The sequence below is a fragment of the Homo sapiens genome, chromosome 6 (assembly GCF_000001405.40).
Source record: "Homo sapiens chromosome 6, GRCh38.p14 Primary Assembly".
In the NCBI taxonomy this organism is placed as follows: domain Eukaryota; kingdom Metazoa; phylum Chordata; class Mammalia; order Primates; family Hominidae; genus Homo; species Homo sapiens.
Genome location: NC_000006.12, coordinates 108,271,846 through 108,299,572, shown reverse-complemented (window position 1 = coordinate 108,299,572; position 27,727 = coordinate 108,271,846). Strand labels below are relative to the sequence as shown.

Genomic DNA, 27,727 nt, shown 5'->3' with positions numbered 1-27,727 from the left:
CAAGTGTCCTACAACTAACTAGACTTATTTACCTGGAACTATAATAAATGCCTCAAATTTAACAAGCCCCATATTGAATATCCCTCTAAAATCCTTTGGCCCTATCATTTAGTTTCATTTTTGTTTTGTTTCTTTTGATTACATTGCCCAAACTCAGAAACCTCAATTGCTTTTTTATTGTTTTACTTTTTACTTATTATGTCATTATTTCACCTGCAATAGGAAACCTAAATTTACCTTCACTCCTCCCTTTCCTTGTCTCTTCCAAGTATGTCCAAGTATGTTAATTTATTTTTTTTTTTTTTCTTTTTTGAGATGGAGTCTTGCTCTGTCCCCCAGGCTGGAGCGCAGTGGTGTGATCTTGGCTCACTGCAACCTCCGCCGCCTGGGTTCAAGCGATTCTCCTGCCTCAGCCTCCCAAGTAGCTGGGATTACAGGCATGCACCACCACGCCCAGCTAATTTTTGTATTTTTAGTAGAGACGAGGTTTCACCATGTTGGCCAGGCTGGTCTCAAACTCCTGACCTCAGGTGATCCGCCAGCCTCAGCCTCCCAAAGTGCTGGGATTACAGGCATGAGCCACTGTGCCTGGCCAAGTATGTTAATTCTATCAAAGAAGTGTCTCTGAATTCCCTCCCTCAGCTGCCCTGCTCTCCTTCACCACAGCAGTAATTCAGCCCCTAAACCACTCCCTAACACTCTATCTACTTCAGCTTCCTCCTAAATAATCACCCAGCTTCCAGTATTCTCCCATCCAGGCATTTCTGGTTTGTTTTTCAGGTGGCCACAAGAGAAATCATGCTAAAATAGATCTGATCACTTCTATTCCTGAGAAACTTCCACTAGTGTCCCACTGAGCTTAGACATCTTAACATACTGTAAGAGACTCTTCTCAACCACATCAGCCCACCTTTACAGCTTCATCTCTAACTGCTCTCTCAGAGACCATAAACCAATAAGGGCCATGTACAGCTCACATCCACACTTTTGCTAAAAATAAAAAATCTGGCCAGCCACAGTGGCTCACACCTGTAATACCAACACTTTGGGAGGCCAAGATGGGTGGATCACCTGAGGTCAGGAGTTCAAGACCAGCCTGACCAACATGTTGAAACCCCCTCTCTACTAAAAATACGAAAATTAGTTGGGTGTGGTGGCGGGCGCCTGTAATTCCAGCTACTCAGGAGGCTGAGGCAGGAAAATCGCTTGAACCCAGGAGGCAGAGGTTGCAATGAGCAGAGATCACACCATTGCACTACAGCCTGGGTGACAGAGCGAGACTCTGTCTCAAAAAAAAAAAAAAAAAAAAAAATTCTTCCCCTCTCCAAGCAGAGCTGCTTCCTCCTCTGCAGTCTTATAACACTTCAAACAGGCTTAGATCATGGTACAATATGTTATTAATGTTCACTGTTACATTAAAAAGCTAGTACAAATAGCAGTTAAGTTTGTGACTCTGAAGCAAAAACACCTGGGTTTAAAATCCAAGTTGGGTGACCATCCTTGTTTATTCATCTATAAAATAAAGACAATAATTTTTATAGAGTTTTATGAAGATTAAATTATGAAACAGAAACTGCAAGCAAAGTGCCTAGAACACAGAAGGGGCTCATCAAATGCTGGCTACCATAATTCCATATGCCTCTCAAGACTATGGGCTATTCAAGGGCTAGAACTCAGGTTCATTCACTTTTCCTTTTTTTTTTTTTTTTTTTTTGAGACAGGTTCTCACTCTGTCACCCAGCCTGCAGTGCAGTGACGCCATCTCTCTCAGCTCACTGCAGCCTCGACTTCCTGGGCTCAAGTGATCCTCCCACCTCAGCCTCCCAAGTAGCTGGGACTACAGGCGTGCACCACCACACCCGGCTAAGTTTTGTATTTTTTATAGAGAGGGGGTTTTGCCATGTTGCCCAGGCTGGTCTCAAACTCCTGAGCTCAAGTGATCCTACTCCCTCAGGCTTCCAAAGTGCCAGGATTACAGGTGTGAGCCACCACACCCAGCCACATTACACTGTACTAAATAGTAGACTTCAAAAGATGAAAAATGAAGGTAAAATAGAAATGTACCCCCCCAAAAAAACAGGAAAGGGATAGAAAATCGATTTGTAAATCAGACTCTGAATACTGAACAAAATTTCAACTAAAATTTTCCTTTTATTTAAAGATGGGGGCAGGGCACCATGGCTCACGCCTGTAATCCCAGCATTTTGGGGGGCCGAGGCTCCGGATCACCTGAGGTCAGGAGTTTGAGACCAGCCTGCCCAACATGGTGAAACCCCATCTCTACTAAAAATACAAAAACTAGCCAGGCGTGGTGGTGGGTGCCTGTGATCTCAGCTACTAGGGAGGCTGAGGCAGGGAGAATTGCTTGAATCCAGGAGGTGGAGGTTGCAGTGAGCCGAGATTGTACCATTGCACTCCAGTCTGGGAGACAGAGCAAGGCTCTATCTCAAAAAAATAAATAAATAAACAAAATAAAAATAAAGAGGGGAAGGGAGCGTCCTTAGATACAATTAAATGGACCTCTAACCTAACTGCATTTTCATCAAATCTTCACACCCAGAATTGGCTAAATTTTGTGTATTGGAGAAAGTGTGAGTATAGATTAATAGCACAGCCTTCACTTGAATCCAGTTCTGACACTTACTAGCCATATAACTTCAGCAACCTTGGATTCATGATCTCCAAAATGAGGATAATGAGGAATAATAAGATAATGTATGTAGAAAGTACTTAGTATATTGTATGACACAGAATAAGCATTCAGTGAATTTTATATGTTATAATGATGCTCCTTAAATCTTTAATGTTCATAAATCATGGTATATACATAGAATGGAATACTATTTTTAAAACTTAAAACACGAGGCAGTTCTATTCATATGAAATTGATATGGTATTGATATGGAATGATCTCCAAGCTACTAAATTTAAAAAGAAATTAACAATTAACAGAATTAACTGCTGTATACACAAAACAATGTGTACAGCATGTTACTACTTCTATTTTTTTAATACCATTATCTATATATGTATATGCTTATACATACACAGAATATATCTGGAAGAATACATAAGAAACTAGTATCACAGATTGCCTCTGAGGAGAAAAACTAAGCAGCTAAGGGATAGGGATAGAAAAAAGCCTTACATTTTGCCATATTCTTTCTTGCACCTGTTGAAATTTATAGCATTTGCTTTTATTGACTACCAAAAATGAAAAATAAAATTTATATTATAATCCACAGCTTACACTACCAGAATATTCCATTATATCTTTATTTATTTATTTACTTTTAACGACTACTCCAGCAGATCAGGGCTACCCCCAGGCAGTGTGTGGAGCCTATTCCATTATACTAAATGCATTATGCTAATCTTTGCAGAAAGACGTAAGGTGACCTAATCAAAGTTCTAGTATTAATTTCAACTGCATTGATGATAAGGGTCAAAGATTGTCATATTTTTAGCTAAATTAATAAATAATCTATTAAGGTATATACCTTATTAAGGTCTATCAATCTATTAAGGTATATTACAGGGGTTGCTTGGATTTGAGAAAAAGGAAAACGAGTATGTGGATGAGGGAGACAAGGAGAATAATTTCATTCATTCATTCACTCAAAAATCATATTTGCACGTCAAGTACCAATCATTGCGCTAAGTGCTTAGGAAACAATGACACAATGTCCTTGCCTTTGAAAATCGTGCAGTTTAGTGCGAATACATGAATAGAGCAGTAAAACTGGCACTCTTGGTTACTCAGAATATACATTCATTCATTCATTCATGAACATATAACTGAATGAAGGAAGCCAGGGAGAAAGAAAGCCCGGTGACAAAATAATTCCACTGAAGCCCCTAGTGACTTGAAAAGAACACCAAGAATCGATCCCTCAATCTGAGAATGTGTGTGGACCTTCCTTCCTAGAATCACGAGAGACATCAGGGCCTGCAGAGGTCCCAGGCGCGGCTCTTCCTCCAGTGCCCGTCAGTCACCAGCCCCGAGAGCTTGGAAAACGCAGAGGGTAGGGGTCCCCAGGCCCCAACCCCACACCTGCATCTCTTCAAGCCAGGCACTCCCACTAGGTTCAGCTCTCTAAACGTCCCGGAAGGAACAAACTCTGAGTCAACCTCTGACCCTCAAAATGAAAGTCACTCAGGGTCATTTCCCTCAGTGCTCAGGGCTCATTCACAGACAGTATAAAAGGTCAAGAGAAATGGAAACTCCTCTCGAGGAGCCCTCAGCTTCGTGAAAGCAGGAGACACCTGGGGTAGATCGGACAGGGAGGGTAATCCCAGAGGCTTCTCCAGTCATATGCAGTCGGCTCGGACTACTCATGGCACAGTCACTGACCTTTCCAAAAGGGCTTCCCAGGGGCGGTGGCCAGAGGAGCGAGAGCGGCGGCCCAGGCCCCGCACCCAACACATCTCCCTCTCAGCGGGCTCTGTGCTAAGGGGCGCAGGGTAACCAAGAGCGACCAGGAGGCCGCCATCTTGAACTCCGTACGAGGAGAGGAAGAGGAAAACTTTATTGGAACCCAGAAGAGAGACGGTGGCAAAGTCAAACCCCGCCGTGCACGCTGAAGGCTCCACCCGAGAGAACCAAGGGATCAGTTAGGGAACGTGACCTCCAGTAGCCACATGGGCGGGCTGCACTCCCGTGCCCTCCCGTCCTTCCGGACGCTGCCAGCCGGGACTACGACTCCCAGCATGCAGTGGGGTGGGGCGGGGTGGAACGGAACAGGCAGCTCCAGTCTGGGCAGTGGGAGGGAGGGCGATTCTCCGCCCGGCGCTGGCGGCCGGCCGAGGAACCCGAAGTTTTCAAGGAATTGGGAAGTGATTATGACGGGTAGGCAGGTAACCACTCTTGAGCCTTTTAAGTTAGCTCACATGACCGAGATTCCGAAACCTGAATAAAATGGAGGTGACCCAATGGGCCCTCGGGTTTTAACGGAAGAGTGGTGTCACTTCGTCACACCTCCCTAAATGGTAGGCCCATTTTTTATTTTATCTCCAGCGTCCAACTCATCTTTGACGAGTACCTGAAATGTGCGCCTACCGCTTTCCCTTTTCGTATTTGAATAATATAAATGGTACGCACTCAAATGTTTTGAAAGATTGTATAAGTGGCATGGGAAAGCCAAGGGCCTAAGAAGGACTGTCGGTGGACGGAGAAGTCATGGGACAGTGTATCCGAAGGGTAACTTCTCATTGATCTGCCCTAATTTGATTAAACAATAAATGCTTTGACATACTATAATAAGCGAATTAGGAGTACAAATTGCTGTCCAGAAGAGGCTGGCAATCCAGTAAGCGAGATGAATTCCAGAAAAGATAATACAGGCCGGGCTAGGTGGCTCATGCCTGGGAGGCCCAGGCAGGAGAATCGCTTGAGCCCGGGAGTTTGAGACCAGTCTGGGCAACATAGCGAGATCCTGTCTCTGCAAAAAATACAAAACTGGGCATGGTGGCCTGTGCCCTGTAGTCCTAGTTACTAGGGAGGCCGAGGTGGGGGTTGCGTCCAGGAGGTGGAGGCTGTAGTGAGCTGGGATTGTGCCACTGCACTCCTGCCTGGGAGACAGAGTGAGTCCCTGTCTCAAAAAAACAAAAAAAAAACAAAAAAAAAAAAAAAAAGAGAAGGCCCGGCGCGGTGGCTCACGCCTGTAATCCTAGCACTTTAGGAGGCTGAGGCAGGCGTATCACCTGAGGTCAGGAGTTCAAGACCAGCCTAGCCAACATGGTGAAACCCTGTCTCTACTAAAATACAAAAATTAGCCGGCATGATGGCAGGTGCCTATAATCCCAGCTACTTGGGAGGCGGAGGCAGGGAGAATCGCTTGAATCCGGGAGAGGGTGGCTGCAGTGAGTCGAGATCGTGCCACTGCACTCCAGCCTGGGCAGCTGAGCGAGACTCTGTCTCAAAAAAAGAAAAGAGAAGAGGAGGGGAGGGGAAGGGGGAGTGAAGGGGAGGGGAAGGGGGAGTGAAGGGGAGGGGAAGGGGGAAGGGGGAGGGAACAAAATACAAAGACTTTTAGAATAAATTTTTTTAAAAATAAAGATAATTCAGTGTTGTGGAATCAATGAGAGAGCAGTTTGGCTGGTAAATCAAAAAGGCCTTCTAAAAACTCAACTTTTGTTTTTTTGTTTTTTGTTTTTTTTTTTTTAAGAGAAGTGGCCTCACTATGTTGCCCAGGCCCAAGTGCTGTGGCTATTCACAGACTCCATCATTGTGCATAGTAGCCTTGAACACCTGAACTTACATGATCCTCCTGCTTCAGCCTCCCCAGTAGCTGGGACTACAGGTGCCAACCACCATCCCAAGCTTTAAAGCTTTTTTTTTTTTAATTTTTAAAAACATGGACTACTTCACGAATTTGTGTGTCATCCTTGCGCAGAGATCATGCTAAAAGATAATTCAGTGTTGTGGAATCAATGAGAGAGCAGTTTGGCTGGTAAATCAAAAAGGCCTTCTAAAAACTCAACTTTTGTTTTTTTGTTTTTTGTTTTTTTTTTTTTTAAGAGAAGTGGCCTCACTATGTTGCCCAGGCCCAAGTGCTGTGGCTATTCACAGACTCCATCATTGTGCATAGTAGCCTTGAACACCTGAACTTACATGATCCTCCTGCTTCAGCCTCCCCAGTAGCTGGGACTACAGGTGCCAACCACCATCCCAAGCTTTAAAGCTTTTTTTTTTTTAATTTTTAAAAACATGGACTACTTCACGAATTTGTGTGTCATCCTTGCGCAGAGATCATGCTAATCTCTGTATCGTTCCAATTTTAATATATGTGCTGCCAAAGCAAGCACTACAAGCTTAACTTTTAAGAGATAAAGACCTTCCAAGAACAGGGAATACAGTGAAGTCAGGCAGGCAAGAAAGTCTGGAGTATAGGAAGGAGAAACTTCAGTTGTGTGAAAACAAATGAAAAGACTACACTAAGAAGAACTCTAGGAAGTCAGACAGTTGGTCCACACTAGAAGAGGGATTCCAAAGAAACAAGAAAGAGAAAGTGTAGCACGGTATAATAATTTAGAGACGTCTCTACCAACTTGGTCAAATCATTCATGGAAAAAATTATTTTGATTGTATCTGTCAAAATAAGCCAATTTACACGTACTATTTATCTTCTCTCTGTAATTCCACTGCCTGACATGACAAACTGTTCTTCCATACTATGGTGATTTTTTTTTTATTTTGTTGCTAATTTTTGGTGTGACACTTTGTGAAAGACCTTTTGAAAAATCTGATTGTTTCTCCCTTGACTTGCATATGTATTTATCACACTCAAAAGACTCTCAGAGAGTATTTAGATTTCATTATGTTTGCTCCGAAAAATCACTTGCCTTGGCCAATGAAATTATCCTTTATTAGAAATTCCAACAGCTTAATAATTATGGAGGTGATATAAGCACTCATGGATAATTTGATGCCAAAGAAGACCTACAGGAAATTTTCACATGGTTGTGCAAGTAGAAACTTAGGAAATTAACTTTATTTTGTACAAATGTAAGCTAATTTAGAGGGAAATAACTTAGATTAACTTAATAACTTAGATTGTAATTGATGTATTCAATTATATTATAATTGATGTAGTCAAGAGAATGACCAGAAGACTAAGTAGCCATTGTAAACCATTTTATTAAAACATTAATCCTGCTGTTCCTGCAATTCCTAAAACAAATTAAACAAAATAATTAGCCTGAAAAAATTTTTTAACATTGTCAGGAAAACTATTTGAAATAAGTCATAAAATTACAAGGTATTTTCTTGTCCTTATTTAAAAAATCTTCCTAGAGAAAATGGCAAGTAGCTCTGGCATCTAATATTAAGCATAAAACCAAACTAAAATAGTCTAGAGAAGGACAAATACAATGAAAGAAATGAGGAAATAAGAAAGAAAGTGGTCAATAGAAAACATACTGAGTCAGGAGTTATATTTCAGCTCTGATTTTGTCACTAATTCAAGCTCTCTCTGTTTTTCTTCTTTTTCTTTTTTTTTTTTTTTTGAGACAGGGTCTTTCTCTGCCACCCAGGCTGGAGTGCAGTGGTGGGATCTCGGCTCACTGCAACCTTGACCTCTCTGGCTTAAGAGGGCAATCCTCCCACCTCAGTGTCCCGAGTAGCTAGGACCACAGGCATGTGCCACCATGCCCGGCTAAAATTTTTACATTTTTTGTAGAGACAGGTTCTCCCCATATTCCCCAGGCCCCTCAAGTGTTCCTCCCGCCTCAGCCTCCCAGTATACTGAGGATATAGGCTTGAGTCACCACGCCCAGCCTGTTTTTCTTATCTATAAAATTAGGGTGGTTTCTATGTTGGCTACCTCACAGGTTTTGTGAGAATTAAATGAGATAATATATACAGTATACACAAACTGTTAATCAGAAATTATTGTAAATAGAAATTGAGAAGAATAATATCCAAGCCTAAAATAAGGAACAGGACCAGCACCATGGCTCATGCCTATAATTCCAGCACTTTGGGAGGCCAAGGTGGGAGCATCACTTGAGGCCAGCCAGCCTGAGAAACATAGCGAGACCCCATCTCTATCGATTGATTGATTGATTGATTGATTGAGACAGGGTTTCACTCTGTCACCCAGGCTGGAGTACAGTGGCATGATCTCGGCTCACTGCAGCCTCTGCCTTCCAGGCTCAGGTGATCCTCCTACCCCAGCCTCCCTAGTAGCTGGGACTATAGGTGCACGCCATCATGCCCAGCTATTTGTTTTGGTATTATTAGAGAGGATTTTGCCATGTTGCCCAGGGTGGTCTCAAAACTCCTGGGCTCAAGCAATCCACCTGCCTTGGCTTCCCAAGGTGCTGGGATTACAGGTATGAGCCACCTTGCCTGGCCAACATTTTTTTAAATAAAATAAAATAAGGGTATGCCTAGGACAACACAGATTCATGATATCCAAGAATCGTAGAAATAAGGAATGCACTCTAAGGTTGAAAACAGTGGAAAAAAATTTTTTTGAGTCAGGGTCTCACTCTTGCCCAGGCTGGAGTGCGGTGGCATGATCTCAGCTCACTGCAACCTCTGCCTCCTGGGCTCAAAAAATCCTCCCACCTCAGCCTCCTGAGTAGCTGAAACTGCAGGCATGCCCCATGCACTCACCTAATTTTTTGTAGGGATGGGCTTTCACCATGTTGCCCAGGCTAGTCTCAAACTCCTGGACTCAAGCAATCAGCCTGCTTCAACCTCCCAAAGTCCTGGGATTACAGGTGTGAGCCACTGTGCCCAGCAGAAATTTTTAAGTAGAAGAAAGTGCTACAGAACATCAAGTAGCAAATTCACGAAACTCATTAAAGGCAAAAGAAAAATATTTTTCAAGTAGGATCTAAATAAATGAGATGGTAATTCATAATAAATATGGGTGATTGGGATTTTCCATTTCCAGGTTCATGAGGTTGCCATTTTAGAGGATGCCATTGAGCCATTGACAGAGACAGACTGCAGATGGAATAGGCCATTGGCATGAAGCAGCCAAGATACCATTTCACCATTTCCTCATACTCTTTCTTTTTTCTTTTTTTTTTTTTTGAGACAAGAGTCCCACTCTGTCGCCCAGGCTGGAGTGCAGTGGTGCGATCTCAGCTCACTGCAAGCTCTGCCTCCTGGGTTCATGCCATTCTCCTGCCTCAGCCTCCAGAGTAGCTGGGACTACAGGCACCTGCCACCAAGCCTGGCTAATTTTTTGTGTTTTTAGTAGAGACAGGGTTTCACCGTGTTAGCCAGGATGGTCTCGATCTCCTGACCTTGTGATCCTCCTGCCTCAGCCTCCCAAAGTGCTGGGATTACAGGCGTGAGCCAGCGCACCCGGCCTTCCTCAATACTCTTGTTCCTCTTCTTGTAGCCACCTCCCTAGGGAGGAAAGGACCTAGTAATTGATTCCCACTTCCACCACTTCGTCTGTAGCCTTCTTCATCTCAGTAGATGGCAACACTGGCCTTCCAGTAGGTCAAACCATTTATCACAGGAATCATCCTCTGCTTTCACCATTCACTCTCACCTTACACCCAGTCCTTCAGTGAATTTTGTTGGCTTCATCTTCAAAATTATCCAGAATTCCATCATGTTTCACTGCCAGTACTGCTACCACCAACTCTGATCCAAGTCACTATCATCTCCTTCCTGGATTATTGCAGTTGCCTTGTCACTGGTCTCCTTGCTTTCACTCTCTACCCCTACAGTTTGTTCTCCACACAGGGGAATTGTCTGTGCAAAAATTATAACTGTGAGAAAATTATGACAGTGAAAGATCTGACCGACTTGATCTTGCTTCTAACCTCCAAGCTGTCCTTGTTCATTTCTGGGTATAGGCTGAACTAACTTTGGGAGGAATTTAGTTTATAGTTTAACTTTGAAGGATGATAGCCCTTTTCCAAAACAAACCCTTTTCTTGCCTGGGGACCAGACTGCCTTTGTAGGACTAACAGATTAGCTACAAGATTAGAAATTATGGTTTAGGAGTCATGCAGCTAGAGGCCACAAGATCTAAACCTCCCCAATTGCTCCTAGGGATAACATCACCTGTAAAACCTAAGATTGATGCTGGAGATATTTTTCAGACCCTGATGGATTAGCTGGTGCCACCCAGATCAATCAACTGGCTCATCTAGTCTTGTGGTCCCCACCCAGGAACTGACTCAGCACAAGAGGACAGCTTTGACTCCCTTTGATTTCATTTCCAGCCTGATCAATCAGCACTCCTGACTCCCTGGCCCCCTGTCCACCAAATTATCCTTAACCCCAGTCTCTGAATTTTCAGGGAGACTGATTTGAGTGATAGTAAATCAATCAGCACTCCTGACTCCCTGGCCCCCTATCTACCAAATTATCCTTAACCCTAGTCTCTGAATTTTCAGGGGACTGATTTGAGTAGTAATAAAACTCTGGTCTCCTGTTCAACTGGCTCTGCATGAATTAAACTCTTTCTCTAATGGCAATTCCCCTGTCTTGATAAATCGACTCTATCTGGGCAGCGGACAAAATGAAACCATTGGGCGGTTACAAGAGCCATATATAATTTCTAAAATTCTAAGTTGCATCATTACTTTCCTGTGTTTAATACCTACTAGTGGCTTACCCTGCCACTCGGTTATCAAAACAGCCTATGAGGTCTCATGATGAGGGTACCAACTACCTCTTTGATCTCATCTCAGACCATTCTCCCGTCCCATCTCTGTCCATGCACGTTGGCTTTCTTGCTATTCCTGGAACTCACCAAGCCAGCTTCTCACTCCTGAAGCTTCTGCATGTCCTGTTCCTTCTGCCTGGGATGCTCTGCTCCAAAATATCTACTTGGCTCACTTCCTCTTGTCTTTACTTCCTTATGACACCTTCTTAGTTAAGGCCTTTCCTAACTACTATCTATATGAAATTACAATCTTGCCCAGCACTCCTTTTCTTTCTTCCCAGCTTTATTTTCTCCACAACAGTTACTACCATCTAGCATAATATGTACTTTACTAATTTATTAGCTTATTACCTGCTCTTACTACTCTTCCTAGAATCTAAGCTCCCTATGGCAGGGATTTATGTCTGTTTTGTTCACTGCCATGTCGCCAGGGCCTATAGTAGTACCTAGGTTATAAGGAACTCAAATGTTTGTTAAATGACTAAATGAGTAGTCTTAATACAAAATTTATTTTCTATCTGCAAAAAGAAAAGATTACTTTACCTTCTTCATGAAATAAGTGATGCTTCTAAGATTTTGAGCCCATTTTAATTTTTTAAGTAAATTTTATTGTATATGTTTGAGGTTTGCAAAATGATGTTATAGGATACATATAATTGTAAAATGGTTACTATGGTGAAGCAAATTAACATCTGTCATCTCACAGTTATTTTTCTGTGACAAGAGCTGCTAAAATCTACTTATTTAGCAAAAAATCTCAAATACTGTGTAATTTTATTAACTATAGACTGCTTACAGATCTGCTACTTTGTATCCTTTGAATTACATCACCTCATTTCCTCCCCTGAACCTCCAACCTCACCCCAGTAACCACCGTTTTATTCTCTATCTCTGTATGTTTGAACTTTTTAAAATTTTAAGCTGAGTGCAGTGGCTCCTGCCTATAATCCCAGGACTTTGGAAGGGTGAGGCAGGAGGATACCTTGAGCCCAAGAGTTCGAGGCTGCAGTGAGCTATGATCATACCACTGCACCCTAGCCTGGATGACGGAGCAAGATCCCATCTCAAAAATAAAATAAAACAATTAAGGCCAGGCCGGTGGCTCATACCTGTAATCCCAACACTTTGGGAGGTCGAGACAGCTGGATCGCTTGAGCCCAGGAGTTTGAGACCAACCAAGGCAACATAAGGAGACCCCCACCTCCACAAAAAATACAAAAATACAAAAACTAGCCAAAAAAGAAAAAAGAAAACTAAAATAGATTCCACACATAAGTGAGACCATTCAATATTTTTATTTCTATGTCTGGCTGATTTCACTTAGCATAACGTCCTCCAGGTCCATCCTACAAATAGCAGGATTTCCTCCTTTTTTAATGCTAAATAATACTCCAGGCTGGGTGCGGTGGCTCACGCTTGTAATCCCAGCACTCTGGGAGGCCGAAGTCGGCAGATCACCTGAGGTCAGAAGTTCGAGACCACCTGGCTAACATGGTGAAACCCCATCTCTACTAAAAATACAAACTTAGCCGGGCACAGTGGCACATGCCTGTAATCCCAGCTACTCGGGAGGCTGCGGCTCGAGAATCGCTTGAACCCGGGAGGCGGAGGCTACAGTGAGCTGAGATCGCACCATTGCACTCCAGCCTGGGCAATCAGAGTGAAATTCCTTCTCAAAAAAATAAAATAATACTCCAGTGTGTGTGTGTGTGTGTGTGTGTGTGTGTGTGCACGCACGTGCTACATTTTCTTTATTCATTCAACTGTCTATGGACACAGGTTGTCTCCACATCTTGGCTATTGTGACTAATGCTGCAAAGAACATGGGAGTGCAGATATCTTTACGAGGAGGTGGTTTCATCTCCTTTGAGTATACACCCAGAAGGGAGATTCCCAGTTTATATGATAGTTCTGTGGTTTTGAGGGGGTTTTTTTCTTTTTCTTTTTCTTTCTTTTTTTTTGAGACAGGGTCTCACTTTGTCGCCCAGGCTGGAGTGCAGTAGCACAATCTTGGCTCACTGCAGCCTTGACCTCTGGGGCTCAAGCAATTCTCCCTCCCACATAAGCCTCCCAAGTGGCTAGAACTACAGGTGCGCACCACATGCCTGGCTAATTTTTGTATTTTTTGTAGAGACGGAGTTTGCCATGTTGTCTAGACTGGTCTCAAACTCCTGGGCTCAAGCAGTCTTCCCACCTCGGCCTCCAAAAGTGCTGGGATTACAGGCATGAGCCACCGTAGTCTGGGTAGTTCTGTTTCTAATTTCTTTAGGAACATCCATACTGTGGATCCATTTTAAAGATTAATTTTTTAAAACACCATTAAATTCAATATTACAGAAGTAATTGAAACACAACCCAAGAGCCCTTTTTTCCATTTGCTTATTTATTTATTTGCCATTACACGTGGTTCTTCATAAGTATAATTTCTTCTAATTTAACAAAGAAACACTTTAGAGCTATGAAAAACAATGTGGTCCATTTGAAGATACATAAGAAATTATTTCAGGGGTACAGTGGCTCACGCTGGTAATCTCAGCACTTTGAGAGACAGAGGTGGGAGGCTTGCTTGAGGCCAGGAGTTCAAGACCAGCCTGGGCAACATAACAAGACCCCATCTCTACACTAAATAAATAAATAAATAAATTCACATGGAAACCATTACATAATAACTTCTAGTTTCTACATTCAAGTAGAGTCAAATATCTAGCTTCTAAATTCAAAACATTTGTATTTTAAATATCCTTAACCAAAGATATAACTTAGGTTACTTAATTTATTTTCTTTTCCTTTTTTTTAGAGACAAGATCTCACTCTGTCAACCTAGGCTAAAGTGCAGTGATGCAATCATAGCTCAGTGCAGCCTCAAACTCCTGGGCTCAAGCAATCCTCCTGCCTCAGCCTCCCAAGTAGCTGGCACTATAGGCACTAGGTTACTTAATTTAAACAAACTAAATAAACAAATATACCTAAGTACCTTATTAACTATGAGAAATGTAACTTCTAACCAAGATGTACACACTTCAGTAATACAGATTTATAAATGTGTACAAAGTATAGATTTTGCTACAAGCAGTCCATTTCTTATTCTTTTGCTAACCTTACAACAAAAATCACCTTTTTTCCCCTTTACTGAAACGTTGTTTAACTCATAACTAGAGACTGGCCAAAGACAGAATATTTGAAGCCAAGTCCAGTGCTCAAACCTTTATTTAGTTTCTTTTTTATTATTATTATTTTTTTTGAGATGGGAGTCTCACTCTGTCACCCAGGCTGGAGTGCAATGGCACAGTCTCAGCTCACTGCAACCTCCGCCTCCCAGGTTCAAGCAATTCTCTTGCCTCAGCCTCCTGAGTAGCTGGGACTACAGGTGCGTGCCACCATGCGTGGCTAATTTTTGTATTTTTAGTAGCAACGGGGTTTCACTATGTTGGCCAGGCTGGTCTCAAACTCCTAACCTCGTTCGTGATCTGCCTGCCTCGGCCTCCCAAAGTGCTGGGATTATAGGCGTGAGCTGCCGTGCCCAGCCAGTTTCTTTTTTCTTTTTTTTTTCTTTTTTTTTCTTTCTTTCTTTCTTTTTTCTTTTTTTTTTTTTTTTTTTTTTTTGAGATGGAGTCTTGTTCTGTTGCCCAGGCTAGAGTGCAGTGGTGCAATCTCGGCTCACTGCATTCTCCACCTCCTGGGTTCAAGAGATTCTCCTGCCTCAGCCTCTCGGGTAGCTGGGATTACAGGTGCATGCCAACATGCCTGGCTAATTTTTGTATTTTTAGAAAAGACAGGGTTTCACCATGTTGGCTAGGCTGGTCTTGAACTCCTGACCTCAAGTGATCCTCCTGCCTCGGCCTCCCAATGTGCTGGGATTACAGGTGTGAGCCACCATGCCCAGCCTTTATTTAGTTTCTTACTACTTATTTTCAACAACAAATTAAAATAACTGTTTTTTTTTCAGTTTTGAATATCCTTTTTTAAAAAATTGAATCACATGATAATATATGTGTATTTACCTATGTATTTCTTCCTTATCCAAATTTTGAGAGGGAAAAAAAAGCTTTCCATATATATATTGTAGAGAGTCTTGCTCTGTCACCCAGGCTGGAGTGCAGTGGTGCAATCTCGGCTCACTGCAACCTCCACCTCCTGGGTTCAAGCGATTCTCGTGCCTCAGCCTCCCAAGTAGCTGGGACTACAGGCGTGCACCACCACTCCCGGCTAATTTTTGTATTTTTAGTAGAGACGGGGTTTCACCATGTTGGCCAGGCTGGTCTCAAACTCCTGACCTCAAGTGATCCACCCGCCTCAGCCTCCCAAAGTGCTGGGATTACCAGCATGAGCCACTGCACCCGGCCACCATCCTCCCTTTAAAAATAGCAACAAACCCCAACTAATACTAACGTTCCCCAATTGGACACACAAACTTGGAATCTGGGAATCATCACCTAGTTTCTCTTCCTCATCCCTCCTATCCAGTCCTTCACCAAATATGATTAAATCCATCCGTTACCACTGGGTCTCCCTCTTGTCTTTCAGAGGCTGATGCAGTCATCTCCCAACTCTAGCTCTGGCTGTTTCCCCTCCACACCATACTGCTGTCAGATGCATCTTTCCAAAGATGTCACCTATCTGACTACGATCCTTCACAGTTTCTAAATTTGCAGTGCCTCCCTACTGTCTGCAGAATGAAGTACAATTTCTTTATTATGGACCTTTTAGAAAATCAATATCTGGCTCTGCCTACCTTACCATCCTCTCAGATCACTCAAATAATTTATACTCAGAAAGCAACATATCATGGGTGATTTACCAAGCATCTTATTTGTTTACATGCACCTTTGTATATATTATTCTAGAAAAACTGGTAAACTAATCCCATCCACCCACTGGACACCCCCCCCCTTTATTTCCTATGAATGTTCTGTTGGTTTTTACTAATATTTGAAAAATCAGTGCAGTAGCTCACGCCTATAATTCCAGTGCTTTGGGAGGCTGAGGTGGGAGGATCAATTGAGGCCAGGTTCAAGATATTTTTTAAATTAGAAAAAAAAAATTTGGCTAGGCACAATGGCTCACGCCTGTAATCCTAGCACTTTGGAAGCCGAGATGGATGGATCACCTGAGGTCAGGAGCTCAAGACCAGCCTGGCCAACATGGTGAAACCCCGTCTCTACAAAAATACAAAATAAATTAGCCGGGCATGATGGCCGGTGCCTCTAATCCCTGCCACTAGGGAGGCTGAGGCATGAGAATTGCTTCAACCCAGGAAGCGGAGGTTGCAGTGAGCCAAGATCACACCATTGCACTCCAGCCTGGGTGACAGAGCGAGACTCCACCTCAAAAAAAAAAAAAAGAAAGGAAAGAAAATTTTAATAAAAATAATTACCCAAGCTATCAATTGACTTTTAATATTTTCAAGGCAACTTTAAGAATGTTCCAGCTTTAGGCCAGGTGCAGTGGCTCATGCCTGCAATCCCAGCACTTCGGGAGGCCGAGGCAGGTGGATCATTTGAGGTCAAGAGTTCAAGACCAGTCTGACCAACATAGTGAAACTCCATCTCTACTAAAAATACAAAACTTAGCTGGGCGTGGTGGCATGTGCCTGTAATCCCAGCTACTCATGAGGCTGAGGCAGGAGAATTGCTTGAGCCGAGATCGTGCCATTGCACTCCAGCCTGGGTGACAGAGCGAGACTCTGTCTCAAAAAAATTAAAAAAAGAATGTTCCAGGTTTAATACTGCAATATGTATTTAGTATCCATCATTACATGTACATTATATACTGCATACTACTATTGATATTCAGCCTTAATGAATACATTTATTTTAAGATCCTCAAGGGGGCTGGGCACATTGTGGCTCATGCCTGTAACCCTACCACTTTGGGAGGCTGAGCTGGAGGATTGCTGAGGCCAGGAATTTGAGATCAGCCTAGGCAACATAGCAAGACCCCATCTCCACAAAAAATGCTTTTAAAAAGTAGCCAAGTATGATGACGTCCACCTGTAGTCCCAGCTACTCAGGAGGCTGAGGTGGGAGGATTTCTTGAGCCCGGGAGGTCAAGGCTGTAGTGAGCTGTTTTCAAGCCACTCCATTCCAGGTTGAGCAACAGGGTAAGACCCTGTCTCAATTAAAACAAACGAACAAACAAACAAAAAAACTCCATGATTCTGAGAGATACAGTAAGTGACTTGTCCAATATAATACAGCTACTATACCTTCTTGAAGTTAACTGAATGGTAATGGAAATAACCCTTAAACAAGATCAACAGATAGACAAAAAGTAGACCATGCCACATAATACTTTGATTGCTGTTCATTGATAGTCATGACCAATCTAGTTTTGTTGATTGGTTAGTTGGATTTAATGAGATGCAACCAGGCAAACAAATTGAGTGTTTTTCAGTTCTATAGACCACTTATTTAGAGAAACTGAAGTTGGCCTAAAATGTAGCCAATCTTCAAAACTCAAAGATGCCATGATAAAAGTATATGAATTCATTTGTTTATAAGTATAGTACTTGCTCCAGGTGACTACACTCAAACTTAGCCGTGATTTGGCCTAGACTTCAACGAAATCAGCTGGTTTTTGTTTTGTTTTTCAAATGGACATCTTGAGATTACTTGGATAAGATTTAAATCAAGTTAAACTTTATTTACCCAACTTTACTGATAATGAAGAAATTCTCAAGTAAGACTCTCTAGGTGATAAAACCTGAATAATTTTTAGTCTGGACATATCTAATTCAAGGAGTATTCCTTCCAAAGCTGAGTGTCTCCTGCCAAAACCAGAACTGGAGAAAACTGAGGGACCAGATGAGGAAAGTGTCATGAAACCTCTAATGTCTATACACACCAATTGTAAGGGCCCAATTTTCCCAGCATGCCTCTCACTTAGCCCAAGCAATTCTCATCAATTTCAAAGGGAGAATTGTGCATCCACAGATACGAGTTTGCAGTATCCAGGGCTTACTCGGCCGGAATAGATACTATAAATTATGTTACCAGACTTCATTTTTTTAAGCCAAATCAACCCAGCTGGATTTTCAACCTTTAGTTCTTAAAAATAATCAGCTGTCCCTTAAAATATCAAATCTGCTTGGCTTTATTTCACACATCAATCTTGTTGATTACCTAGGATAAGTCATAGTTTAGGTTGATATGCAAAACATGTAATGTAGCTGTATACTTTAGTACCATGTAGCTTTATAGTACCAAATCACCAAAATTTTTTCTGGAGGTAATTTTATGCATAGCAAAGAGAGAAGCAGGAGACATAATTTCACATGTTTGCTGTTTAACAATATTTTAAAACATATAATTCTGTTTACAAGTGTAGTTTTTCAGCTTTAATTTGATACTTTACTACCAGGTAAATTATCTTTTAATGTAATTACTTCTATATAATAATTATGATCTTCAAAGTCTGCAAAGTGATTAAAGGGTATTTTCTAGGAAATAGATTTCTGTATTTAAATTATGCAGTTTTTCTGCTTATGGTTTTGGTATTATACCTAATTTATTGTTTTCATTATTATTATTATTACTATTATTAAATACTTATTAAATAGCATGTATAGCGATAGACCTTTACAAATATCTAAGACTTTAGGTCTAAAATGTTTTTAATCACAGATTTTTAAAGTTGACACAAGTATATCCCCATTATCGTTTTTTTTAGCACTTATTAGTTTTGACTCACTAGCATGTTATACACATCAGCACCTGTGCCCATTTAGCAAAGAATTTCAGTACAAATCACTCTGAATTGAATAGACATCTCTAAGAAGCATTACAATTGTTGCAATATTTTTAGAAACTGAAACAAGGAAATAAACAACTTCAGTAAAAGTGATTTAAATAACAAATAACGTGTCTTTATAAACAGCTTATCTCCTTGAGAACAAAGAATAAACAAGGAGACAAGGGCTTTTTTTTCTTCCACTATTAAAGCAGATCACAATATGAATGGGTGAAATGTCATGAATAATTGGAGAAAATCACAGAGTAATCTTCGACAAAAACATCTGATTTATTTAAATTGTCACTGTTTGTCTTATTAGAACCTTTATTTAACCTTGTTATCCACAATGCAGTATTCAAGCTGGTTTATCAAAAATATACTTTGGAACTAACCATATTTTGAAAATTTTGACTTTCTCAAATGCAAGCTATGGTAATATAAACCTCTCATGGTAACTGTTCTACTTCAGACCTAATTAATTGACATTGCATTGAACTGAAATGCCTACGAAAACCAATGTTTTGAATCTAAAACAATAGTAAGTCAAACAGTTCAAACATTCTATCAATAGATTTAAGCTCAGGTTTCTGGTCAAGAGAATCATCAATTCCATTATTAGATTCACCTAGATATAACATTCATTCACTATCCTCAGCTAACAAACCCAGCCAAACACCACCAAAGCCACTCCTTATTGTGGGACTCAAGGTCTCATTTTCAACCATGTTCTTTCTTTCTTGATAAACTCATTTCCTCATTGACTTCTACACAGATTCCAGGTATTTCAGAGCTTACCAAGTTTCCGGCGCTGTTCCAACTGTCTTACAAATACTAACTCTTTCAATCCTCATAACACCCTGTGAATTAGGTACTATTATTGTCCCCATTTTATACATGAAGAAATGGAGACACAGACATGTAAAATAACTTGCCTAAGGTTACACAGCTACTAAGCCCATCTCTACCAACCCTTGATTAAATAGAATTGATTTGCTTATAGTACTGTCTTCAAACCAGACAGATTTATATAAAATATAAAATTCTAGGCTGGGTGCCGTGGCTCACATCTGTAATCCCAGCACTTTGGGAGGATGAGGCAGGGGATCACCTGAGGTCGGGAGTTCAAGACCAGCCTGGCCAACATGATGAAACCCCATCTCTACTAAAAATACAAAAAAAAAAAAAAAAAATTAGCCAGGCATGGTCGTGGGTTCCTGTAATCTCAGCTACTCAGGGGGCTGAGGCAGGAGAATTGCTTGAACCCAGGAGGAAGAGGTTGCAGTGAGTTGAGATTGCACCACTGCACTCCAGCCTGGGCAACAAGAGCAAAACTCCATCTCAAAATAAAAAAATTATAGCCAAGAAATAATTTATAATATAAAAGCAAAGTATACCAGGATAGTGATATGCACATCATGCTATTATTCACAATGGACTGAAGAGATTAGAGAAAGCAAAGCAGTATATGAAGAGCTCTGTAGTCTAACATTAAATAAATTAAGTTATGGCAGGGAGGTGGGGTGAGGGGTAGATGAGAAAGAAGAGAAAAACATGTCTCAGAGGTATGAGCCCAAGTAATTAGATAAGTAATGATAATATTTGCAGCAGAAAGGATGTAAATATTGGCAAATGCTTGGGGGTAGATGGGATTAGACTGACTTCAGACAAGTTGAGCTTTATTTAGTGAGTAGGATAACAAACAGAAATAGCATGTGGGTGCCTGTGTGAGCATGTGATGTGATAGGTGGCAAAAATTATAATGATATTCTCATACTTAGGTTGAGGTAATTAAAGTTTTGGGAATATTGGACAGCTTAGTACACCAAGCCTTGTCTGGCCGGCCTGGTCAGACGCTCTACCAAACCCAACCCATGGGTTCCTGACAAATATACCTCCTGTGAGGATGTGTAAATGAAAAGCTAGAAGAACTAACTTCCTTTGCAAATACAATTGGGAATCAAACCTGTTGTTCTGGGAGTGTATATCCCTGTGGCTAAGGCCTTTCATTAGAACACTGAAAACAATTGACAGAGATTTGCCAGGCCCTCCACTCCCAATAGAAGTCATGGTGCTTTTTATATCCTGACATCTTCCTCAGACATGGCATCTCACAGACTTCTGGTCTGAGCAATCCTCAGTTGTACCTTCTTTGGGGTCAAATCAGAGAAACAGGACAAGTATTTCTCAAGTCCATTAATTTCTCCACATTCCTACTGCTACTGTCTTTGTTCTGTCACATTGATCTTTTTGAGCTAAAAATAAGTTACACTCATTCAATGGTTTACTTTAGAACGTCTTTAGATAATGTCTAGAACCATAAACATGGACTATAATGCCCTTCATGACCTTGTCTCTCTGGCCTGAGTCCTGATCTTCTTTCCCTTTCATTCCAATAGTCCTTAACTATACTAGTTCCCTAAGTGTGCCATGCTCTTTATTTCCTCTGGACCCCTTCAGCTGTTTATCTCTACCTCTGGAATATACTTCAAACACTTAGGCACACCGAAAACATATGCAATTTGCCTGTCAAACACCAACTTCATGTCTCAGTTTCCTTGTTGCTTCCTTCTGGAATCCTTCCTCCATTACTCTTCCCCCAAGACTGGGCTATGTGGCTGTTATGACACTCTCCTGACATGGCTTTGTTCATTTTCATGCCCCTATGACCAGACTGAAAGATCGTGGCCAGGCATGGTGACTCATGCCTGTAATCACAAAACTTTGGGAGGGTGAGGCAGGAGGATCGCTTCAGGCCAGAAGTTGGAGACCAGTCTGGGAAACATAGCGAGATCCTGTCTCTACAAAAAATAAAATTAAAAAATTATCCAGGCATGGTGGTACTCACCTGCAGTCCTAGCTACTCAGGATGCTGAGATGGGAGGTTAGCTTGTGCCCAGGAGGTCGAGGCTTCAGTGAGCCATGATCGTGCCACTGCACTCCAGCCTGGGCAACAGAGCGAGACCCTGTCTCTAAAAAAGCTTAAAAGAAAAAAGATCGTGGAAGGAAAAACTGTATCTTGTTTACCACTTTGTCTCCTCTCCATATGCCCCACACCCACCCTAGCACCTAGCACAGTCCCTGGTTTCTTGTAGGTGCTCAGTCACACAAATAGCCAGAGTCTGAGAATCCTAAGAAAGCCATATCTGTTCAGCCAAAGAGATCACATGATGCTAATAGTTCTGGAATGGCACCCTCCTCAAGATCCCATCAATTAATCAAATACATCTGGCATTCTTGAGATTCTCTACATCCCTGCTGCTCAGTGTGGGCTGGGGTCCAGCAGCATTGGCATTACCTGGAACTTGCTAGAAATGCGAAATCTCAGGCCTCATCCTAGAACTCCTGAATCAGAATCTGCATTTTTACAAGGTCCAGGTGATCTGTATGCATATTAATGTTTGAAAAAACATTGCTCTGGTATGGCTAGGTGGCTTACTCCTGTAATCCCAGGACTCTGGGAGGCCAAGTTGGGAGGATCACTTGAGCCCAGGAGTTTGAGACCAACCTGGGCAAAAAAGTGAGATTTGGTCTCTACAAAAAAATTTTTTTTTTTTTTTGAGATGGAGTCTCGCTCTGTCACTAGGCTGGAGTACAATGGCGTGATCTCAGCTCACTGCAACCTCCACCTCCTGGGTTTAAGCGATTCTCCTGCCTCAGCCTCCCAAGTAGCTGGGACTACAGGCACGCACCACCATGCACAGCTAATTTTTGTATTTTTAGTAGAGACAGGGTTTCACCATGTTGGCCAGATTGGTCTTGATCTCTTGACCTCGTGATCCACCCGCCTTGGCCTCCTAAAGTGCTGGGATTACAGGCATGAGCCACGGCACCCAGCCCAAAAAAATTTTTTTAATTAGCCAAGTGTGGTGGTAGCACGTACCTCTAGTCCTAGCTACTGGGGAAGCTGAGGCTGTAGGATCATTTGAGTCCGAGTTCAAGGCTGCAGTGAGCTCTGATGGTACCACTGCACTTCAGCACGGGTGACACAGCAAGACTCTGTCTCAAAAAAAAACAAAAAAACAAAACAAAACAAAAAAACAACAACAACAGTTGAAGAAACTGCTCCAGTTAGATACATTGGTGGTTCTTTACTCAGAAAGTGGGTAATTCATCTCCTTGAGAGAAGCAGTGAAAATGCCTGGTTTCCAGGATTCCTGTGGCTGAGAACCTTTTTATTTCTGCCCTGATCCAGGTTTACACTAATATGTAACATGGCCTTACATGGCTGAAATCACACACTGTGCATGATATCAGGTGCTCCCCTATCTCAACAAAAATTCTGTGCCTATGTTTTTTCAGAAGCTAACCACCTGACTTGAGACTAGAATTGCACATGTTGCATACCATTCTTGCCTTTGACTCTTTCAGACATTGTATCCAATATCATCTATCAAAGGAATGAGCCTGCCTTAGTATCCCTGATGTGCTTGGCTGTTGGCTGGGAGCAGCCCATGGAAAGTGTAGTCTCTGAGCAAATGCAGTAGTCATGAATTTCAGAGTACAGCAGCTGAGGCCAAAGGTTAATTATGCTTTCTGCAGTTGGAGGTCTGAGAGACGCAGTCTCATGGCTGCCACAACACGTAAGGAGAAGATAAGAATATGATAATTGATGGAGAAGAATTTAACAAAGGTGGTTCTGAGGTTCATACAACCAACCCAGCACTGCCTGATTTACCAACATACAAGAGGCAAGGCACAAAAAATGTAACAGAACAGAAACTTGTGCCTCGGAAGAGATAATTTGTAAAGCCTAGTGGGGAGTGAGACCCCTTAATGAGCATGCCTAAAACAAAACAGATGGTCACTCCTCCCTAACCTACCAAGAGTGAAAGTCAAGTTACCATGAGGGGCCTGGCACAGTGGCCCGTGACTGTCATCTCAGCAGTCTGGGAGGCCAAGGGGGAAGGACTGCTTGAGGCCAGGAGTTCAAGACCAACCTGGGCAATATAGCGAGACCCCATCTCTATTTAAAAAAAATGAAAATTAAAAGTTACCACCAGGCTTATTTTGCTGAGATGGCATGCAAGCAGGGGCCTGGCTCTTTCCTGTTCTTGCCCCAGCAGTACTTAGCCTCTTCTCTAAATAAAACTGAACAAATATACAAAGAAATCAGTGTTCAACTAAAGTATTAGCCTCCCAGAGACATCAAACTCAGACTGTCCAGAGAGCAATCCATGTGCTGATCTCTCCATGACTGTGGAAGTAGTTAGCCTTTGAGAGCAGGGAGACTGATTGATATGCTACTAGAACACACTAAGATGAGAAGGGCTCTTCATGGGGGTTGGTAAGGGGTTTGCAGGAGGACCATCACAAAGGAGCAGGTCACATAGGTCCCGTCACAAAGGACTTCAAATAACATTAACATCATCTCCAAGGTTATGTGTGTAGTTTCTGATTCTCCTGGTACCAACTGGGTATCCAACAATTCAATTCAATTCTGACACTAACTATCCAGAGTTAGTGCACATCCCACAGGTTAATGCTCAGTCCCACAAGACTGCCCCCACTTCAGATGCCAGTTGCAAACAGGATGTCCAGACTACCCACACTTCTGCCCAGCCCCCTACTAATTTGGTACTTCTCATAACCGCTCCCCCCACCCCCTGCCACACACACACCCTTTTCATACATTCCAACAAGCACTTCCATACATTGCTGAACAGGGTATAAACTGGCAAAACCTATGTCAACCTTCAATAAGGAGATTTAGGAAATATGTTAAATGTAGAGTTTAACTGAGCCCAAAGCTTGAGGATGGCCACCCAGCAATATGGATTCAAGTTGCCCTGAATATGCACTCCTATTAGCAGCAGTTGCAAGTGGGGTGGGTCCTTTCTTTCTTTCTTTCTTTCTTTTTTTTGAGACAGGTCTTGCTCTGTTGCCCAGGCTGGAGTGCAATGGTGCCTTCACACCTCACTGCAGCCTCGACATCTTAGTTCAAGTGATCCTCCTTTTTCACTTCACCCTCTGGAGTAGCTGGGACTACAGGGGCACACCATCATGCCTGGTTAATTTTTAAAGAAAATTTTTGTAGAGGCAGGTCTCACTATGTTGCCCAGTCTAGTCTCAAACTCTGCACTCAAGCAATCCTCCTGCCCCTTCCTAGGATTATAGGTGTGAGCCACCGTGCCCAGCCACAAGTGGATTTTTTTTTTTTTTTCTAAGATAGAGATGAGGTCTCCCTTTGTTGCCCAGCTAGGCTGGTCTCAAACTCCTTAGCTCAAGTGATTCTCCCGCCTTGACCTCCCAAAGTGCTAGGATTACAGGCATGAGCCACTGCGCCTGGCCAAAGTGGGTTTTTAAAGGAAAAAAGAAGACACAGTTCCTAAGTTGTTTTGCAAGAATTTACATTAAAATAACATAAGCAGCTGGGCCTGATGGTCTGTGCCTGTGGTCCCAGATACGTGGGAGGCTGAGGCAGGGGAATTGCTTGAGCCCAGGAGTTCGAGCTTCAAGGAGCTATGATGGCACCATTGCACCCCAGCTTGGGCAATAGAGCTAGACCCTATCTCTAAAAAATAAAAAGTAAACAAAAGCTATTGATTGCTTATACTTTATTCTTTGTATCACAGACTCCAGAAACATGAAGATAATGAGTGAGGCAGCGAGTCAGGAACAAAATGCCTTTAAGTAATTGCCCTGGACATGGGGGTGAGGGGTCATGATTCAAGTCCCATACTTATCAGGTTTTTTATTGTTATTGTTTGTTTTTTTTTAGACAGAATCTCACTCTGTGGCCCAGGCTGGAATGCAGTGGCACAATCTCAACTCACTGCAACCTCCACCTCCTGGGTTCAAGGGATTCTCCTGCCTCAGCCTCGCCAGTAGCTGGGATTACAGGTCTGCACCACCACGCCCCACTAATTTTTTTTTTTTTTTTTGAGATGGAGACTTGCTCTGTCACCCAGGCTGGAGTGCAGTGGCGCGATCTCAGCTCACTGCAAGCTCTGCCTCCCGGGTTCACGCCATTCTCCTGCCTCAGCCTCCCGAGTAGCTGGGACTACAGGCGCCCAGCACTATGCCCGGCTATTTTTTTTTTTTTTTGTATTTTTAGTAGAGACGGGGTTTCACCGTGTTAGCCAGGATGGTCTTGATCTCCTCATGGTCCGCCCGCCTCAGCCTCCCAAAGTGCTGGGATTACAGGCGTGAGCCACCACGCCCAGCTAATTTTTTTGTATTTTTATTAGAGACGAGATTTTGCCATGTTGGCCAGGCTGGTCTTGAACTCCTGACCTCAAGTGATCCCAAAGTTCTGGGATGACAGGCATGAGCCACCATGCTCAACCAGGTTTTGAAGAAGTGACGCACTGCTCAAGTTTACAAGGAACTGGCTGTTAAAACAGAATTCCAATTTACTAATTTAAAATAAGAAATGTAAACTATCTGCTCCCACAAGGCAGTACCTCCTTTTGCCTATTAAAAAAAAAAGTCTTGTCAGGCGCGGTGGCTCATGTCTGTAATCTCAGCACTTTGGGAGGCTGAGGCGGGTGGATAGCTTGAGCTCAGGAGTTTGAGACCAACCGGGGCAATGAGGCGAAATCCTAACTCTACCAAAAATACACAAATTATCTGGGGGTGGTGGCGTGCACCTGTGGTCCAGCTACTCGGGAGGCTGAGGTGGGAGAATTGCAGGAGCCCAGCAAGTCCAAGCTGAAGTTGAGGTTACAGTGAGCCATGACTGCACCACTGCACTCCAGCCTGGGTGACAGAGTGATACCCTGTCTCAAAAAATAAAAATAAAAAAAGGTCTTTATTGCTTAAAGTTTCTCTGGGCCTGATAAATTTTGCATAGCTCTCCTAGCTCAGGCTGCTTTAAACTATTTTTTTCTCATCTATACGAAAGGAAATTTTTACAATATCTCTCAAAATTACAAATGCATATATCCTTTGCCTCAGTAATTCTATTCACAGCAATTTATGCTACAGATATACTCCCATGTGTATAATGACTGGCATATTCAAGGTTATTCATTATAGCACTATAATAGTAAAAGATTGGGATCAACATGTATTTGCCACTAGAGGAGAAGTTAAATAATTATAGCATATCATAGAATACTTTGCTCTTGTACAGATACAGATGTGTAACTACCTGGGCATATAACATTAAGTGAGGTAAGCTGCAAAAGTGTTTGTATCCTATTGTACTATTTCTCATATATATATGAGATACATACATATATGAGATACATATATATATGAGATACATATATATATGAGATACATATATATATGAGATACATATATATATGAGATACATATATATGAGATACATATATATGAGATACATATATATATGAGATACATATATATATATATGAGATACATAAGAAACTGCCAACAGTGGCTGTCAATAGAAAAGGGAGGATGGCTGGAGATAGGTATTGGCGACAGATTTTTCAGTGAATACCCTTAAATACATTTTGATTTTTTTTTTATTTTTTATTTTTTATTTTTAAAACTTTTATTTTCGGTTCAGGGTTTGTTATATAGGTAAACTCATATCATGGGGGTTTATTGTACAGATTATTTTGTTACCCAGGAACTAAGCCTAGTACCCAATCGTTATTTTTTCTTATCCTCTCCCTCCTCCCAGCCTCCACCTTCTGAGAGGCCCCAGTGGGTGTTGTCCCCCCACCTTTTTTTTTTTTTTTTGAGACAGAGTCTCGCTCTGTCGCCCAGGCTGGAGTGCAGTGGCGATCTCAGCTCACTGCAAGCTCCGCCTCCCAGGTTCACGCCATTCTCCTGCCTCAGCCTCCCGAGTAGCTGGGACTACAGGCGCCCGCCACCACGCCCAGCTAATTTTTTATATTTTTTTAGTAGGGACGGGGCTTTACCATGTTAGCCAGGCT

The 27,727-nt window shown here is 42.2% G+C and overlaps 1 protein-coding gene and 1 pseudogene across 8 annotated transcripts in view, besides 4 other annotated features; both read right to left on the bottom strand.

Moving 5' to 3' along the window:
• The window catches only part of AFG1L (AFG1 like ATPase), a 230,948-nt gene extending 226,429 nt beyond the window's left edge, over positions 1-4,519 (bottom strand). For all 8 annotated transcript variants that reach the window (NR_136553.2, XR_007059229.1, NM_145315.5 and 5 more), the window contains exon 1: positions 4,355-4,519. Coding sequence is in view for 6 of the 8 variants with exons in the window: in NM_145315.5 (NP_660358.2) it covers positions 4,355-4,493 (139 nt within the window). In the remaining 2 variants the exon portion in view is untranslated. The remainder of the gene's footprint in view (positions 1-4,354) is intronic.
• Positions 4,178-4,667: an enhancer, noted in NCBI's record as "active region_24912". NCBI's record gives its function as "activates an Ori minimal core promoter by ATAC-STARR-seq in GM12878 lymphoblastoid cells {active_cell/tissue: GM12878}" and the evidence as "EXISTENCE:reporter gene assay evidence [ECO:0000049][PMID:35858748]".
• Positions 6,704-6,807, bottom strand: RNU6-1144P (RNA, U6 small nuclear 1144, pseudogene; annotated as a pseudogene).
• Positions 12,901-13,000: an enhancer, noted in NCBI's record as "active region_24911". NCBI's record gives its function as "activates an Ori minimal core promoter by ATAC-STARR-seq in GM12878 lymphoblastoid cells {active_cell/tissue: GM12878}" and the evidence as "EXISTENCE:reporter gene assay evidence [ECO:0000049][PMID:35858748]".
• Positions 14,570-14,639: a silencer, noted in NCBI's record as "silent region_17450". NCBI's record gives its function as "represses an Ori minimal core promoter by ATAC-STARR-seq in GM12878 lymphoblastoid cells {active_cell/tissue: GM12878}" and the evidence as "EXISTENCE:reporter gene assay evidence [ECO:0000049][PMID:35858748]".
• Positions 17,105-17,279: a silencer, noted in NCBI's record as "fragment chr6:108603498-108603672 (GRCh37/hg19 assembly coordinates)". NCBI's record gives its function as "represses an EF-1alpha promoter that drives an FKBP-Casp9 reporter gene in an ReSE screen in K562 erythroleukemia cells {active_cell/tissue: K562}" and the evidence as "EXISTENCE:reporter gene assay evidence [ECO:0000049][PMID:32094911]".